The following is a 16,120-nucleotide window of genomic DNA, read 5'->3' on the forward strand; positions in this document are numbered from 1 at the left end:
AAGAAATGACTGCTGAATTTGTGTGGGGGTTGTTGGAGGAGCAGACTCTCGTAGACATGGACAGATGCAGTGGTTAATAATGGACAGTGGGCATGTCTGAAATGGTACCACCCTTTCTTCCTAGCCCAGTAGACAGACCTGCACAGAATACGCTAGTTCTTTCTGCTGACTTAGCAAGCCTGTAACAGGATAGAGGCTTCTAATCAAACATGATAGAAAAAGCAGTCACGGTAGATATCTACAAGCCTGCCACCAGGGCTGAAGTCTACATGTGCCCAGTTCTTGCCCCACTGAGCAACTGACACTGAAGTTACCACCAGGGCAATGTGGAACTCAAGAATGGGAAAGAGCTGTCCCTCTCAACCCTCCCCATCCCCAAGCCTGCGAGCCAAAGGCTCACAGGTACCCAGTGAAAGGCCAAAGAATGGATCAGGAGCCTGAGGCTGCAGGCTGAGATCCAGAATGACCCTGACCACCTGTGGGCCCTCTGGCCTTCCTGAGCCTCAGTGTGCTCACCTGTAAAATGGAGACGATTGTACCTGTTCTTTATTTTTAGGGCTGTGACAATGAAAGGAGATGCCAAAGATCTTTGTAAACTGGAGAATGGTTCTACAAAGTCTTATGCTCACAACTGCTTTTAGATTTGATATTTTTGATCTCTCTCTTCCCACTTTAGCTAAATTAAGCAAAGACTTTCAGGGGAAGGCCCTGCTGGAAAGACTCTACTGTTTGAAAGCAAATTGTTTCCCTCACCCAGGTCTCCATGGATTATGTACAGAAAAGCAGTGGACTCTGCCTCCTATTTATCTGGGTTTTCTCTGCTCTATTTTGTTTTTATTTTCTTCTATTTATTGTATTGTGTGTATCATTGCAAACTATTGTAAATCCATTGTAGAATGATGTGGAATAAACAAAAAATGAAAATGCTGCTGCTGCAATTGCTAGATTTAGTACAAAAGACAGTGGCCTCAGAGCGTTCTCCCCAGAGATTTTGCCATTACACAGATAAGGAAGAGAAAACCTCACTCTGCACTTATCTAATTGTGCTGTACTCATCATCGCTCTCTCCATCCGCCCACCCAGCCAACGTCTATCCATCTGTCCATTGTACCATCTATCTATCCATTATCTGTCCATTTCTATCTATCCATTATCCATTTCCACCTACCCATTATCCATTCATCCACCTATCCACCTACCTATCATTGATTTATCCATCTACCCATCTTTCCTTCTTTCCATCCATCCTTTGTCTGTCTGTCCATCCGTCCATCCATCCATCATTCCACCCACCCATTATCCATTCATCCACTGACCCATCTACCTATTATTTATCTATCCTTCCTTCCTCCCATCCATGCATCCATCATCCAGCCACCCGCTCATGGATCCTTTCAGTCAAGAAGTATTTATTGAGCTCTACTATGTGTCAGGCACTGTTCTAGGTGCTGGGGATTCAGCAATAAACAAAACACAAATTCCTGACCTTGTGGAGCTGAAAATGAGTCCTTTTGGATATTGTCTGTTGTAGAGAAGTCTAGAAATAATCCTTTACCCTACACTGTGGCCTCTGTGCCTGGGGAGAGGAGGAAGCCATGGGGGTAAGTGTGTGGGAGGGGGATTGCAGGATTGGCAGGATTTCAGCTGAAATGTTTTCACACATGCTGTACAACAAATAAAATGCTGGGTTAACGAGCCAGTGACAGGAAAGCATTCTCTGCTGTTGGAACATAAATTGAAGGAGGTTTGCAGAATTAAATGGCTTAAAAATGGGGCTACCTCCCACCTCCCAGAGGTTGCACAGGGACATGGCTCTGTACTGAGGCAGCTTTAGTTCTCTCATAAAGCCCAGATGTGTTCACGGCCACTTCCATGTGTCAAACACACTGGGAAAAAGCCGCTTGACTTTATGTCCTGGGGCTTCTACTTAGGTCGGTCTGGAAAAATGCAAGCAGTTCATTTAACACTCTGAGCTCCAGTAATATGGGTATAGTTGGCCAGGTGCGGTGGCTCACACCTGTAATCCCAGCACTTTAGGAGGCCAAGGCAGGTGGATCACTCGAGGCCAGCAGTTTGAGACCAGCCTGGCCAACATGGTAAAACCCCATCTCCACTAAAAATACAAAGAATCAGCCAGGTGTGGTGGTGCACGCCTGTAATCCCAGCTACTTGGGAGGCTGAGGAACAAGAATCATTTGAACCTGGGATGCAGAGGTTGCAGTGAGCCGAGATGGCCCCAATGGACTCTGCCTCAAAAAAAAAAAAAAAAAAAAAAAAAAAAAATATATATATATATATATATATATATAAAATAAAATAGGTATAGTCATGACCATCTCACTAAGTTCATCCATGGGCCAGGTGCGTGGCTCACACCTGTATCCCAGCACTTTGGGAAGCCGAGGCTCACAGATCACTTGAGGTCAGGAGTTCCAGACCAGCCTGGCCAACATGGTGAAACCCTGTCTCTACTAAAATACAAAAATTAGCTGGGTTTGGTAGTGTGCACCTGTAATCCCAGCAACTCGGGAGGCTGAGGCAGGAGAATTGCTTGAACTGGGGAGGTGGAGGTTGCAGTGAGCCAAGATCGTGCCACTGTATTCCAGCCTAGGTGACAGAGCGAGGCTCAGCTCAAAAAAATTAAATTAAATTTAAAAAGTTCATCGATGAAACAGGACACCATGAATGCAGTCCTTCAGGGTCAATATCCCCTAAACTGGATATTCAAGGATCAGTGGCCACACAGAATCAGCCTCCCGAGCTTGACCTCTATTTTGTGTACAGCTTAACGGGGAGGACAATTCTAACTTGGGCAGCAGCTTTTCATATTCTAATGGAATTGCACACAAATTCTTTCATTTTCCAGTGAGCAATATCTAATTACATGGAGAAGAAACAAGAACAGGCTGCATATTGATGCGCCCTTCTTGAACTGTTTTCAAGAATCCCTCCTGCCAGTTCATTTTTCCCTGTGATAATGTCGGGGTACAGCTGACTCCATTACTCTGGCTGAGTAATTAAATTGATTCTAACTAGTAGTGTTTTCATCTTACCAGAGTTCCTCATTCTGTAGCTGTTCCTCCTTTTTTCTCTCTCTCTGGATAAAGATTTCCATTTTTTCACCTAACACTTTGAGGAAGGAAATGAAGATTTTCTTAAACTTTTCATTGAGAAAAAAATTATCACTCTCAAATGAAGAGTTAAGATGGAAAAATAATTCCCTTCAATTCCATCTTGGTAAAATTCCAGCATGACAAATGTATTTCATAATCTCCAACAGCACCCCAAAGTTCGAGGGAGAATTCTAACGATATGTATTGTCCACTGATTTTCAGGAAAGCAAGTTCTACAGAGTGTGGACTTTCCCGCTACATTGAATTTCTATCAATTCCTACCACTTCCAAAGCCCTTGGGGGATTTTTTTCACTGAAAATTGCAGTTCATTTTACCCTCTTAAAACACCTTTTCAGGCAGAAATCTCTTCCAAGAGAAATCCAGTTTTCCCACAGTATGAGGTAGGAATTTTCAGGGAGCGGTCTGCCCAGCCTGTATTTAATTCTTCCGAGATCGGTTTAGACTGGACTCTATTCCAGGATATCTTTTCTGCCTGCTGCCTCTTCTAACCTTTGCTCCCTGTTTGCAATAAATTATTGGTCGCTTTTTAAAAGATGTGAAATGATGTTATGGTTATAGATTTTTCTCTCTGTCTTTTAGAGGCCCACACTGAAATCACTTCTAGATGGTGCTTGATACCCGGACTGTGTAAGCAGATTTGATGAGGTACCCTGCAGTGAGGTCCCTGAAGTCAAGGATCCTGCCTTGTGTTTCTGTGCCTGCTCCGAAACTGCTCCCCAGGATCTGGCCTCTAGAGGGTACACAGTAAATACTAGTGGAGTAAATGAGTGGCTTTGCTCTGCCTGGTGGCCAGCTGCGCGTCTGTTGACCTCATTTCCTGTAGCAAGCTTGTCCTGAGTCAGGGGCAGGGCTGCTGTCTTCTCTGATGTCATTAGAGAAGGCCGAGGCTGTGCATGGTCACTTACACCTGCATTCCTAGCACTACGGGAGGCTGAGGCAGGCGGATCACTTGAGGTCAGGAGTTCAAGACCAGCCTGTCCAACATGATGAAACCCCATCTCTATTAAATATACCAAAAAAAAAAAAATTAGCTGGGCATGGTGGTGTGTGCCTGTAATCCCAGCTACTCGGGAGGCTGAGGTGGGAGGATTGCTTGAACCTGGGAGACAGAGGTTGCAGTAAGCCGAGACTGTGTCACTGCACACTCCAGCCTGGGTGACAGGGAGAGACTACATCTCAAAAAACAAAAACAAAAAGAGAGAGAGAAGGCTGACCTGGGTGGAGGCCACCTAGACCTGGGGACACATCTGTTTGTGTTCCGTGTCCAGGCAGGTGTGCCATGAATGTGTCCTGAATGGAATTAAATGTAATCGAATGGGCCAGTTATACATGCTTGCGGGGAAGTAGGATGGCAACACATTCTCCTTAAACGTGGTCATTTGATCTGGGTGTAGATTGCAGAAGGTCTGACCTCAGCTTAATGTGAATGATTTGCACCCCAGGAGAGCAGGGGGTAACCCTCATTTGCTTATTTTCTCATCCCACATTATCCTCAGTGCACAACACGAACACGCTGCCCGCCCCAACTCCCAGTTGGCAGCTGGGGACACACTCGTCAGTTGAAGCCATTTGCCAGTATAGACCCAGCAAAACCCAGACAGGCCCAAACTCCTGATTTCAGCATCCGTGTGACAACTGTGGCAACAATTCTTTTCAGATACACATGAAGAAAATGTGAATGTGCTCCTTGGTGGCTCTCTGACAGAATCCCTAAAGGATGCTCACTATAGGAAAAGGAAAAAGAAATCTCAAACCAAAAGAAATATTTTACATCAAGTGTACAAGGCTGGAGAGGTGAGTGTGGAGCGTGGCGTGATGAGCACCGAGTGTGCTGGTGAAGGATCCTTCCTCTTCACAGTTTCCAAATGCCTATGAATTACACCAGAACTAAACTAGAATTCACACACTATTATTACTTGTTCTTCTAAAGGAAGCCTCCCTCTTCTTTTTTGTACAGACAGAAAACCCCTTAACTTGGCAAACTACAATATCTCAGAGGCTGCATGGTCTTCTTAAAAATGAGGAAACCTTAAAAGATAAATCAGATCATATTCCTATCTTGCCTGAGAAGCTTCAATGATGTCCCGCTGCTCTGCAGATAAGAATCCACGTTCCTGCTCTGGCCAACTGGGCTTTGCTGGCTCTGGTTCCTCCATTTCTACCCAGCATCACTTCCCTCCAGCCCCCCACAGCCCCAAGGCTCCTGGCAGCAAGGTGTCCCCACAGCGCCCACAGGCCCATGGTCCCCTGCACCTGAACTCCCTTCCTTCCATGCTTTGCAGGCTCTCCATCCCTGTCTTCCTTTTGGCCTCCCCCAAACCCCCACTTAAAGTGGGCTCCCTCACCCCATGTTTCCTCTCTTTGTCCTCTTCCTTTGCTTCCTTCACAGCACTCCTTCCAACCTGCAATTTATTACTTTTATTTTTTTATTTTAAAAATAGAGACAGGGTCTTGCTATGTTGCCCATGCTGGTCTTGAACTCCTGGCCTCAAGCAATCCTCCTGCCTTGGCCTCCCAAAGTGCTGAGATTACAGGTGTGAACCACCACACCTGGCCCAAACTGCAAGTTTTAAATTTTCCATTTTTCAACTCTTTTCACCACTAGAACACCAGTTCCAAGAGGGCAAGAAACAGGCTTGTCCTGTTCACAGCTGTGTCCCTAACACCTATCAGTGTGTAACAGTGGCAGGGGCTCGGTGAATATGACTTGCAGATTCACCTACCCCACCCGAGGAGATGGCCCTATTCCTCCAACTCTCATTTAACAGAAACTTTCTGCAAAAAAAAAAAAAAAAAGGAATCTGTAAGAGTCATTTTTTGAATGTTAATATTGCCTTTTTTCCTACTCTAGGAAGTGACATTTACTATTACGCTAAATATTCTTTGCTATGAGTGTTCAAGTCATTCACAATTTTCTTACTCCTATAAATGCAGCATACGTAGCCCTCACCTCCCTAAGACCAAGGGCTCCAAGCTCATTAATGGATAAACTCAACTGAGTTAAACTCCCACATGAATCCCCAGATACTGCTTTTGCCAAAGAGTCATTTCCAGGACAGGTCTTAAATGTTTAGAGACATAAAACACACACTCTTACACACACTTAAAGCCTTGCAGTAATTAATGATACAATCCATAAGGAACCCCCTCCAACCATCCCTGCAATGTGCAACTGAAGTCACACAAGTCTTAAGTTGAAATAGGACTCTATCCTTGTATTTACAGGCCTCAGGTCCCATTTGTCAGTGACAGCAATTGGTTAATGTTTTCAGAGTTAGGATTCTGGAATGTTTTGATAAAGAATAAACAAGGTATATGAAGGGATATACTTTTCTCCTTTAAGCCATCTACAATACTTGGTTCTTTTTGATTCTGAGATGTTAATATCATTAAAGCAGTTACTGATTCATCTCTGAATCACCTTTGGAGCTGAGACTGAATTTAACTGACATCCCCAAGCCTCCATCAGTGGTGGGAGGAGGAAGACACAGGCTGGCTGGTGTTTGGATGTGGGCCAGTTTAAAGTGAGCCATCACACGGAAACTGTGGACATGCTGCTGAGTGACTGCTAAGGGCACTGGGAGTCTTTCCAGCAATGATGAGTAGGAATTCTGAAAAAAGCCTTTAACTTTTTGATAGTTCCAAAACCCCTGTAAGCTAAGTAATAATATACTACCTTTGTGGAATGATTTACAATTTACAGACATGTGATCTCATTGAGTCCATTCTCCCACTCTCTCGGAGACACTATGAGGTAAGAGAACCACCATTTTGAGATAATACCGGAGCAGCCGGGAAAACTCCACCACGGGTGATGGATGACTGAGGGTTGACTGAGCCGCTCGACCTCCCCCTCACTGTGGGCTTTTGTGATTAATTCACCTACTTGCTTAGGAAGTTGCTTTCCATCTGAGAAAATTAAAAACACCACTCTCTGGACAGGAATGTGGGATCATAAATGAGAAGCAAATAGAAAAGATTTATACAAAAGCACAAGCTCAGCAAAAGAGAAAACTCAGAAATTGCTAATATGGTATAAATCAAATAAAGGCTATTAGCAAACCCCTGGTAATGGGGGAAAAAAAAGCCTTTTAAATGATTTGTCGAGCTCTTAACAATACCATTTCTACCTACGGTGTTCAAATATCTCTGGGGCGATCTGGCTTGCATTCTTCAGCACTGCCATGAAGACTTTCCAATTGGAAAGGATTTAGATAAAACCATATAGAGTGCCAGAAAATATGCCTTGCTATTGTGCCTTCAGAATTATATAATTTTTAGAGCTGTAGAGTCTTCATCATCTGTGCATTCCTCCCCACGAGCACAGGGGTCAAAAATATTTGTTTAATATGTGAACAAGTGGGTGGAGAGACAGATGGAAAGAAAGGAGGAAGGAAGGGTGGATGGGTGGATGGATAGATGGTTGGATGGGTGGATGAAGACTGACTCACTCATCTTATTGATGAGGAATGTAAGAGCCAGGGGGTTACTAAACTGCCTATATTATTTTAAAAAATGGTGTGAGAATTGGGACAACCAGATCTCTTCAAGTCCAGTGTTCTTGATCTAGGTTTTCCTCTCTTCCATTGGTTTATCAATAATTAAAAAACATTAACAATATTAACAATATGATCTTCTTAGTCATGGGAAACCATTTCTGGAGGCCCATAGGCTAATGTATTTGTGCCCATCTGATGATCAGGGAAATTAGACACACAGTGCATTTTCTATGGCTATGAGTTCATTGAGAGTGAGAAAACACGAAGGCCACTCAGTTGCACATCAGTCTCCTGCCAAACTCACTGTCTGAAAGTCACCCAGCGTGTGGCCCAGCATAGCGATCAGGGCTTGTGAAATGTTGGAAACAGAAGGCATCTATAGGCCCTTGGCCCAACCTTATACCCTAAGAAGGAAATCCTTGCCCCAAATGTCCAGCAAACAATTACTGTGCTTCCTCTCAGACACCTTTAGTGACTAGGAACATATTACTTTTTAGGGTGGCCTCCCTTTTGGAGAGACACACATGTTAGTATCTTGAGTTTTGCAATATTTCATTTCCTATCGGTTAGTACTTTGACTTTGTGTACAGATCCTTGGTTTCTGTCATTACACACTCACAAAGCAACTTCCTCAACAAAGTCTTGGTGACTCCCTTGAATTATGCTTAAGAGGGAACCACAAACAGAAAGATGCCCCTGAAGCCTCTGCCCAAATGGGGGCGATGAACATGAGGAATCAGTCACTTGCTGTAAGAAGATGCCTCCTGATGGCTCCCATGAAAGGACAATCCCCTGATGAGCTGTGTGGTTCTGCTCAGTTCTTGTTTCAAGGGCAACTCAATGCCCTACAAACTATTTCCCAGGAGGCCCACAAGGCTATTGCTTGAAAAAGCACAGACACATTCTTTAACAATTCCTCCCTCTACTGGGTCTTTTAAACCGCAGTAGCAGGTATCCCCTCACACCACGCTTGTCCCCTGGCCAGCAAGTCTTCACAGAGATGAGTCACTGGGCTGCTCAGAGCACTTGCCTCTTGCCCCAGTGTCTCCTTTTGGGAAACCCAGAGAGCAGGCTTGGGCTGGAATGTTCCATGAAAGTCAGTGTTCATAAGGTTTCAAGGTATAATAAAGAAGATAGCATTGTATCCAGCGCATGCTTCCCGTTACTAATGAGAATCTTCTTAAACTAGCACAAAGTTCTAGTTTGGGATAGGCCCTTTATAGATATAAGAACACATCTGAATCTCTAATCCCTCCAAGGTGCATCTGTTTCCACTTCGTTTGAACACTCCAAATAATGGAACTGTCTTGCTCTTTTCTGGTTGAACCAAGTCGGGAGTGTCAGGAAAGCATTAAATAAGGAACAGCATTGTAATATACCAAAGCAGAGAAATCATTTCATTTAAACCTCTAAGATCTGGTAAGGTGATGTCAGGGCAGAGACACTACAAACCCCCAAGCTACCGACTTCAGAGACACCCTAGGGCCAACCCTGGGGAAAGAAATACCTTCTACCCAGCACCCTCTAAAGACATGTGGCCCATCTCCACTCTGCCCAGTGAGTTTACATGTGGCCCATCTCCACTGCCCAGGCTTTCAGATGGCTGGCTCCTGGGACTGCCTGGCAGCTGGAGCCGTAGGCTCAAATAAAAAACACTTGCTGGGACAGGAAGATAATTAGCGATTTCTAAACACAGACAGCATCCATGCCCACCATTCCTCAAGGAAAAGGTCAGCCCTCTTCCTTGTACACACCATGTAGCATTGCCATCTGGCTGCCCATGGCTCTCCAGAGTAGCACAGGCCACCCTTGCTTCTTGGGAAGGAATTACTTTTTGGAAGCTTCCCTGGGTGCTCTGACCAGAAAACCAGAGACACTTTGACTCATCTGGTTCCCAACACACACTTCAAGCCATGCACACTGTCAAAGCAGATGGAAGCAATGGTACTTGCCCGGTGGAAGCGTTCATGATGCAGCCTCCTTTCTCAACCGCCATTTGACAGCTACAGCCCCTGTCCAGTGTGTCATGATTCATCCCGAAATTGTGGCCCAGCTCATGTGCCAGGGTCACGGCTGCACCAAGGGGATTGTCTGAATGGTCCTCAAAGAAAACACAAAAGTACAGGTGTATAATTCATATCTCCTTGGCCTTATTTCCCAGGTCTCCCTCCCCACAGAAATATACCTTTCATTAACATTTGACTTAATGTAATTCCTTATAAGGGACCAAGGTAAAACGCTATCATTTAGTTTAAACTTAAAAAGATATAATTTGACATTTCATTAAGCCAGTTTGGGGTCCTTTCGGCTGAGGAATGTCTGTATGCCGCACGTATACATGTGTGATTCTTTATGTTTTTACATGACATCTTCAAGGCAGGGTCTCCATTCTGCTTCCTACAATTGCCCCACAAAACTCTTCCATTGAATGAAGCAAAAAGTCATCCTGCATCATAGGAAAAGCTCATTCCTTCATGGGCCATAGAAGTATCATTTTACCTTTGATTGAGATGATGCTGATATAAAGGTGACAGGTGCAAGCACGCTTAATGACATTCTAAATGAGCCCTGAGAGGTTGTCATTGAGCCTGCCTCTTCCTGTGTGCTTGGTCGGGGAGGACAGTTGGAAAATTCACAATACTTCATAATAAATCTGACCACATTGAGTCATCTGTTTGAAGAGCCATTCATTTCATTTAAGATTATAAACCAGCTATATCTTATTCTTGCTGGCTCTTTGTGTTGCCAGGCAGACTTTGGAAATGGGAGGTGTCCCGATTCTCTGACTCTTGCGGCTGGGGGTTCATTAACCTTTTGCTTGGATATGGAAGGCGGCTTCTCCATTCAACAAGCACTACTTGGCCACCCCTAACTTAGTGGAGTGCCTGGATGGCTTGGCTCAAACAGATACTAGAAATTAACTAAAAAATATAGTTACTTAACTTTTACAAACTGAAATTAGTTAATTAGCATATATGATCTACAGAAACAGTGCCTATATACAACATTTCTGAAAAGGCCTGTATACCATGGAGTAAGGAAAATACCCTGTTTGAATCTTGCTTTGTGCTACTTAGGAAAGAGATAAGATGTTTTCCAAGAGGCTTCCAAGAAACAGTGCTGCTATGCTTTGAAGGTTTGTTCCCTCCAAAACGCATGCTGAAGCTTAATCCCAATATGGCAGTATTGGACGTGAGGCCTTTAAGAAGTGATTGGGTCAGGCCAGGCGCAGTGGCTCACGCCTGTAATCCCAGCACTTTGCGAGGCTGAGGCAGGGGGATCATGAGGTCAGGAGATCAAGACCATCCTGGCTAACACAGTTAAACCCTGTCTCTACTAAAAATACAAAAAACTAGCCGGGCGTGGTGGCGGGCGCCTGTAGTCCCAGCTACTCTGGAAGCTGAGGCAGGAGAATGGCGTGAACCCGGGAGGCGGAGCTTGCAGTGAGCCAAGATCCCACCACTGCACTCTAGCCTGGGTGACAGAGCGAGACTCTGTCTCAAAAAAAAAAAAAAAAAAAAAAAAAAGTGATTGGGTCATGGGGACTCTGCCCTCATAATGTATTAATCCATTCATGGACTAATGGGTTAATGCATTCATGGTTTATCATGAGAGTGGGACCAGTGGCTTTATAAGAAGAAGAGGGACCTGAGCTAGTTTGTTTAGCCCCCTTGCCATGTGATCCCCCGCACTGCCTTGGGACTCTTCAGAGAGTCCTCACCCTCAAGAAGCCCTATCAGGTGTGCCCCCCTACCTTGAACTTCTCAGCCTCTGTAACTGTAAGAAATAAATTCCCTTTCTTTATAAATTATCCAGTTTCAAGTATTCTGTTAGAATCAACAGAAAATGGGCTAAAACAAATATGATACTGAATTTCAGAGAGCACACTGATACAGTCTGTGTGAGGCTCCTGGATAAAAGTGTGCTCATGTAAGATCTTACAGGTTTGTTGACAGTGTTTACAATGAGGCTTCTGTCTAAGAAAACAATAGCATATCAAGGAACCAAGATAATCTTACAGTAGATGAAATTCCTAATAAATTACTTTGTTTAGATTTTAGAGTTTCCTGTTGTAGGAAGTTTACAAATATGTTTCAGGAAATCGGTTCTCGAAAATAACACAATGGTGAAGAGAATGTAGTCAGTCTAAGAACATAGGGGCTGAAGTTACCATGCTCTGGCACAAAATTCAAGGAATTCACCCTTAAAAAATATTCTTCTGATTCTTTTGTGTCATTGAATGTCTTGGTTTTTAGTTGCCAGATTGTTTTACATTCTTTCATGCATCAATGATTATAAACAGAATGTCTCTTAAAAGACCTTGATAAACAGTTTACATTTGTAGTAAGAAAAAATATCTCTTTATTCATGTTATTAATATTATTTCCAAAGCAAGGCTGTTTTAGGCCAGTTAGATAAAAAGGAATGACTTTCAGTCACTAAAATTAATGATTTGCTCTATATTGGAAAATACAGAAATGGTACTACAATCCTGTTTTCAATTTTATGAGGATCTCTGCTTCCTTGCTACATTGATTCCTTCCTCTTAGATTTGTGGTCCTCTAATGAAGCACAGTCACACGGGATGCCCGTGAATGTAACTTTACAGACACAGGAGAAGAAAGTGAGTCTAGAAGTTTTTGGTCTGGTCAAGATGTTGATCTTGCTGATTTCATGACTTTTGTAGAAATCAAAGGTGCTGAGGCATTTTTATCCTATTTGATGTTTCTGTTATATGTGGAACGTGTAAGCAGTGTGTCTAAGGATGATGTTAACTGCTGTCAAATTGCTAAAACATATTTCCTGATAATTAACTTTGATCTTCAATTGAATCTTATTGCATGACACATAATTTGCTTATATTTCCCACATTCATTTTCATATACCTTTTTTAAAAATAGCCTTCCCTGTATCCTTTTAAAGAAGGAATTTTCATCAAATGCTTGTATGGAAATGGAATAAGGGACACGAGCTGAAGAAAGCCGCTTACTCTGGTGAGATGGGTTACAGGCCCATTTCAGCACCGCACAGCAGCAGAACTTACCATGCTTATGAAGAATTGAGTTCCAGCTCTAAAAAAAATATGATGCCAACTTGAAGTGGCAAAGTCAGTAGCAACTGACCATGGAACCATGAAACAGAAAATTATTCCCTCTTAAAAATGTACAGTCTGCTCTGTAAAAATAGAGTTGGGATCTGACTTGAAGTGAACCTGGCATCACAAAAACCAAACTTGCCAAGGACCTGCCATGGTGGAGATCACATGCAGGGCCTCCAGGTCCACAGAAAACAAGGCAGTCACCACTCAAGCCAGAAATCCAGTAAGTGGGGGCAATCCCTCCACGCAGCTTTGACCCTTAGTGCAGGCTTACATTAATGACCAATCTCTGAACCCACAGAAGAGGGAAATGTTGGTTCCGTATATTCATGAAGAATATCTGATTAGGCAGTAGGTGGAGAGAAAGTAATCATCAGCAGAACATAACTCCTTCCACTATGTAATACAACTGAACATTCACACATGTTCTGTTTAAAAAACATGGAGGAACTCACAGTTTCTTGGGAGGGCAGGGTTCTATTTGTTTAATGGAGATGGAAGAATGGTCTCTGAGGATACTCCCTGTCTGAGGTCTGGTGCAGAGGAGACACTAAATTTTCAGAGCAGGGACAGCATAGGGTGAAAACCTCTCCTTTAATTATCTGATGAAGTGGAGCACAAGCCCCCTGCTGGCAAGCCTATCAAAGCTACCTCCCTCCTACATTCATAACGAGACCCAAATAGTTTTCCCACTGTATTTCCTTTCACAAACATATATAGCTTATATATGACAAAATGGTCCTTGTAAAGCAATAAACCTGGGTTTCTGACTTCCAAGAATAAGGTTATTTTAAAGACAAACTGTATACTGGCCAGAAGGCATGTAAAGCATTTGCAGTGGTAAAAAGCTAAAAACCTCAGACTTTGGGCCATTGGGCTTGGAGACAGAACCATCAGAAAACCATCCAAACGGGAACGTCTGGTGAGACCACAGGGCGTCCCAACAGCTGCATGACGAGGGCAACCCCAATGCCCTGGCTCACCCCAGTGCTGCGAGGAATTCCTGGTTTGGAAAGTCCTGGTTGAAAATGTTTCTCCATAAAAGAGGTAGGCTTGCCTCTGCTGAGCTATTTTACATGCCCACCTTTCCTGTGTGCAATTTGCTTTTAAATGGTTCCTAAAACACTGTGGGATATATAAAATTATAAATACAGCTACAGTAAAAATAGAGTTAAATCTAAAAAGCATTAAAGGAAAGGATCTATCTTCACAAAGTCTGATAAAAGTAGTGACTTCCTGGGGAATCATTATCAAGGGGAACCAGCTCCCAATGCCCTTGGCTTACCATGACAATTCCCCCAGACTGGTCTGCCGTGCACATGCTCATGATTGGGGCCATGCCGATGGTGGTCCCTTGGAAATAAACCCCACTAGGAAATAAAAGAGAGGACTTTCTTTAATCAAATTAGAACGGGGGCATTCTCTAATATTTAAAAATTCTGTTGGATATTCCTGCAATAAAATACGCAAAAATAAAAATAGCTGTATGAGGGTATATTCACATGTGATTTTATCTTTTTTCCCTGAAAATTTTATTTCTGCAGTTGCGTCATGGTTCTGTCATTTTTTAGAGTTTTGTTTTCAAGACTCAGATGACAACTAGTTATTACTTTTGTACTTATGAGTTGTAATCTGCCTATTTCCTAATGGACTGTAGGAAGCTGCTCCATTTAAACAATGTCTGCTGATGGAAAGGCTGAAAATAGTCACAGAGAATCACTGTTAACTAAAAGAAATGCATTAGATGGTTTACTAGATTTTCACCATAGCTTAACTGCTTTCCTGGGTAACTTACTACAGTTCTGCCAGACACCCAAATTCTTTCAAATTGTCCCGCTAAGATAGCTTGCAAAATTGAAATGGGCAGAAAAATTATCAACCCTGGAGCCGGTGTAGAACAAGTGAGCACCCACAAAGCCTTGGCACCTAGGGAGGAAGCTTCTGGAAGGGGACTTCATGGCTTCAATGCAGTCGTCCTTCTATCTGGAATCTTAACCTGATCATGAATCTAATGACACCAAGGGCCTGTTGAACACAAGTGCTGTTAATTCCAACCTCATGCATGAAAAACAAAACGCTGTATTTGTTGAATTTCCTTTAAAGGAGTCAAATGACTTACCAATGCTATCTTGGCCATGTATGTATACAGATATATTGTTTGAAAAGTTAGATATTTTAGCTATGGTCAATTGAACAGAAAGTGGTAAGTGTATATAAAACCTTCTCCCTCCTTCCCTCCCTCCCTCTCTCCCTCCCTCTCTCCCTCCCTCCCTCTCTATCCACCTATCCCACTATACTTATATTTACAGTGGTAGAAATTTCGGCCTTTATTTACATCTATATAGACTATATGAACAGATATAATTATACATGTATATAAATAATAAAGTTACATAAGATGATAATTTATTTCCAGATGTTCAAGTTGGACAGACTCCATTTGGGAAAAATATCAAAACACTCTGACTCAAAATACATAAAATGTACTTTTAGTAGTTCAAGACTAATCAATGCATAAAATGTGAGGCAACCACAAATATCCAAGGGTAGGGGCAGGGGGGAACCCTGTGAAAATGGCCGAAGTAAATTATCAAAGAATGCCAACAGCCTCAGTTCAGACGTAGGCATTTTCTGAAGTGACAATGGGGTAGGACTGGTTTTTTAACTTTCCACAAATGTTCAATAGCTACATTGGGTTTGTCAAAGGAAAGTCTCTGTCCCAGAAGCTTTCCTTTCTGTGCTATAAGCCACATGACAACAAAAGAATAATAGCACAAAGTATTTAAAGATTTAAATAAAAATTTGTCACTTCTAGAAACATCTACTTCATACTAATTTAGATTGTTCCTTTTTTTTTTAAGTATAAAAGCATCGGCAACATCTCAACAATTTTTGTGTTATAATAGAGCTATGCTTTGCCTTAGTTTATCATCTTCCAGTTGATCCTGCTGAAATTGTCCTCTTTATTGTTGTCTCTCAGTAGAGTGGAGACTTCTGAGAGCAGGGAGATTTACAGTGTTGGTCACCACTGTGTTCAAAGCCCCCCAAACACTCTTTGGTTCCTAACGGGTGATGCATATTGATTTAAAGAGGGAACACAAGGTTAATGTGCTATGCTTCCCGGTATTCTCTGATCTAGAAAACCAAAGAGTCACAGCCACAACAGGAGGAGGAATAAAGTCTTTTTTCCCTCCAGGAATCTGACAGTATTCACCCAAAGTACTGTCCTTAGATATTGTATAAACATACATTTTCCACTAATAATGATGAATCTTTAAAAACAGGCTCCTCGGCCTGGCGCGGTGGCTCATGCCTGTAATCCCAGCACTTTGGGAGGCCGAGGTGGGCGGATCATGAGGTCAGGAGATTGAGACCATCTTGGCCAACA

At 42.9% G+C, this 16,120-nt stretch overlaps 1 protein-coding gene across 5 annotated transcripts in view; it reads right to left on the reverse strand.

The window, feature by feature from the left end:
* Positions 1 to 16,120, reverse strand: part of ADAM12 (ADAM metallopeptidase domain 12) — a 376,087-nt gene that overhangs the window by 72,008 nt on the left and 287,959 nt on the right. For all 5 annotated transcript variants that reach the window (NM_001288973.2, NM_003474.6, NM_001288975.2 and 2 more), the window contains exons 10-11: positions 14,018 to 14,102; positions 9,587 to 9,735 (exon numbers count right to left, since the gene is read on the reverse strand). In NM_001288973.2, the coding sequence (NP_001275902.1) occupies positions 9,587 to 9,735; positions 14,018 to 14,102 (234 nt within the window). The remainder of the gene's footprint in view (positions 1 to 9,586; positions 9,736 to 14,017; positions 14,103 to 16,120) is intronic.

Source organism: Homo sapiens, chromosome 10 (assembly GCF_000001405.40).
Source record: "Homo sapiens chromosome 10, GRCh38.p14 Primary Assembly".
Lineage (NCBI taxonomy): Eukaryota > Metazoa > Chordata > Mammalia > Primates > Hominidae > Homo > Homo sapiens.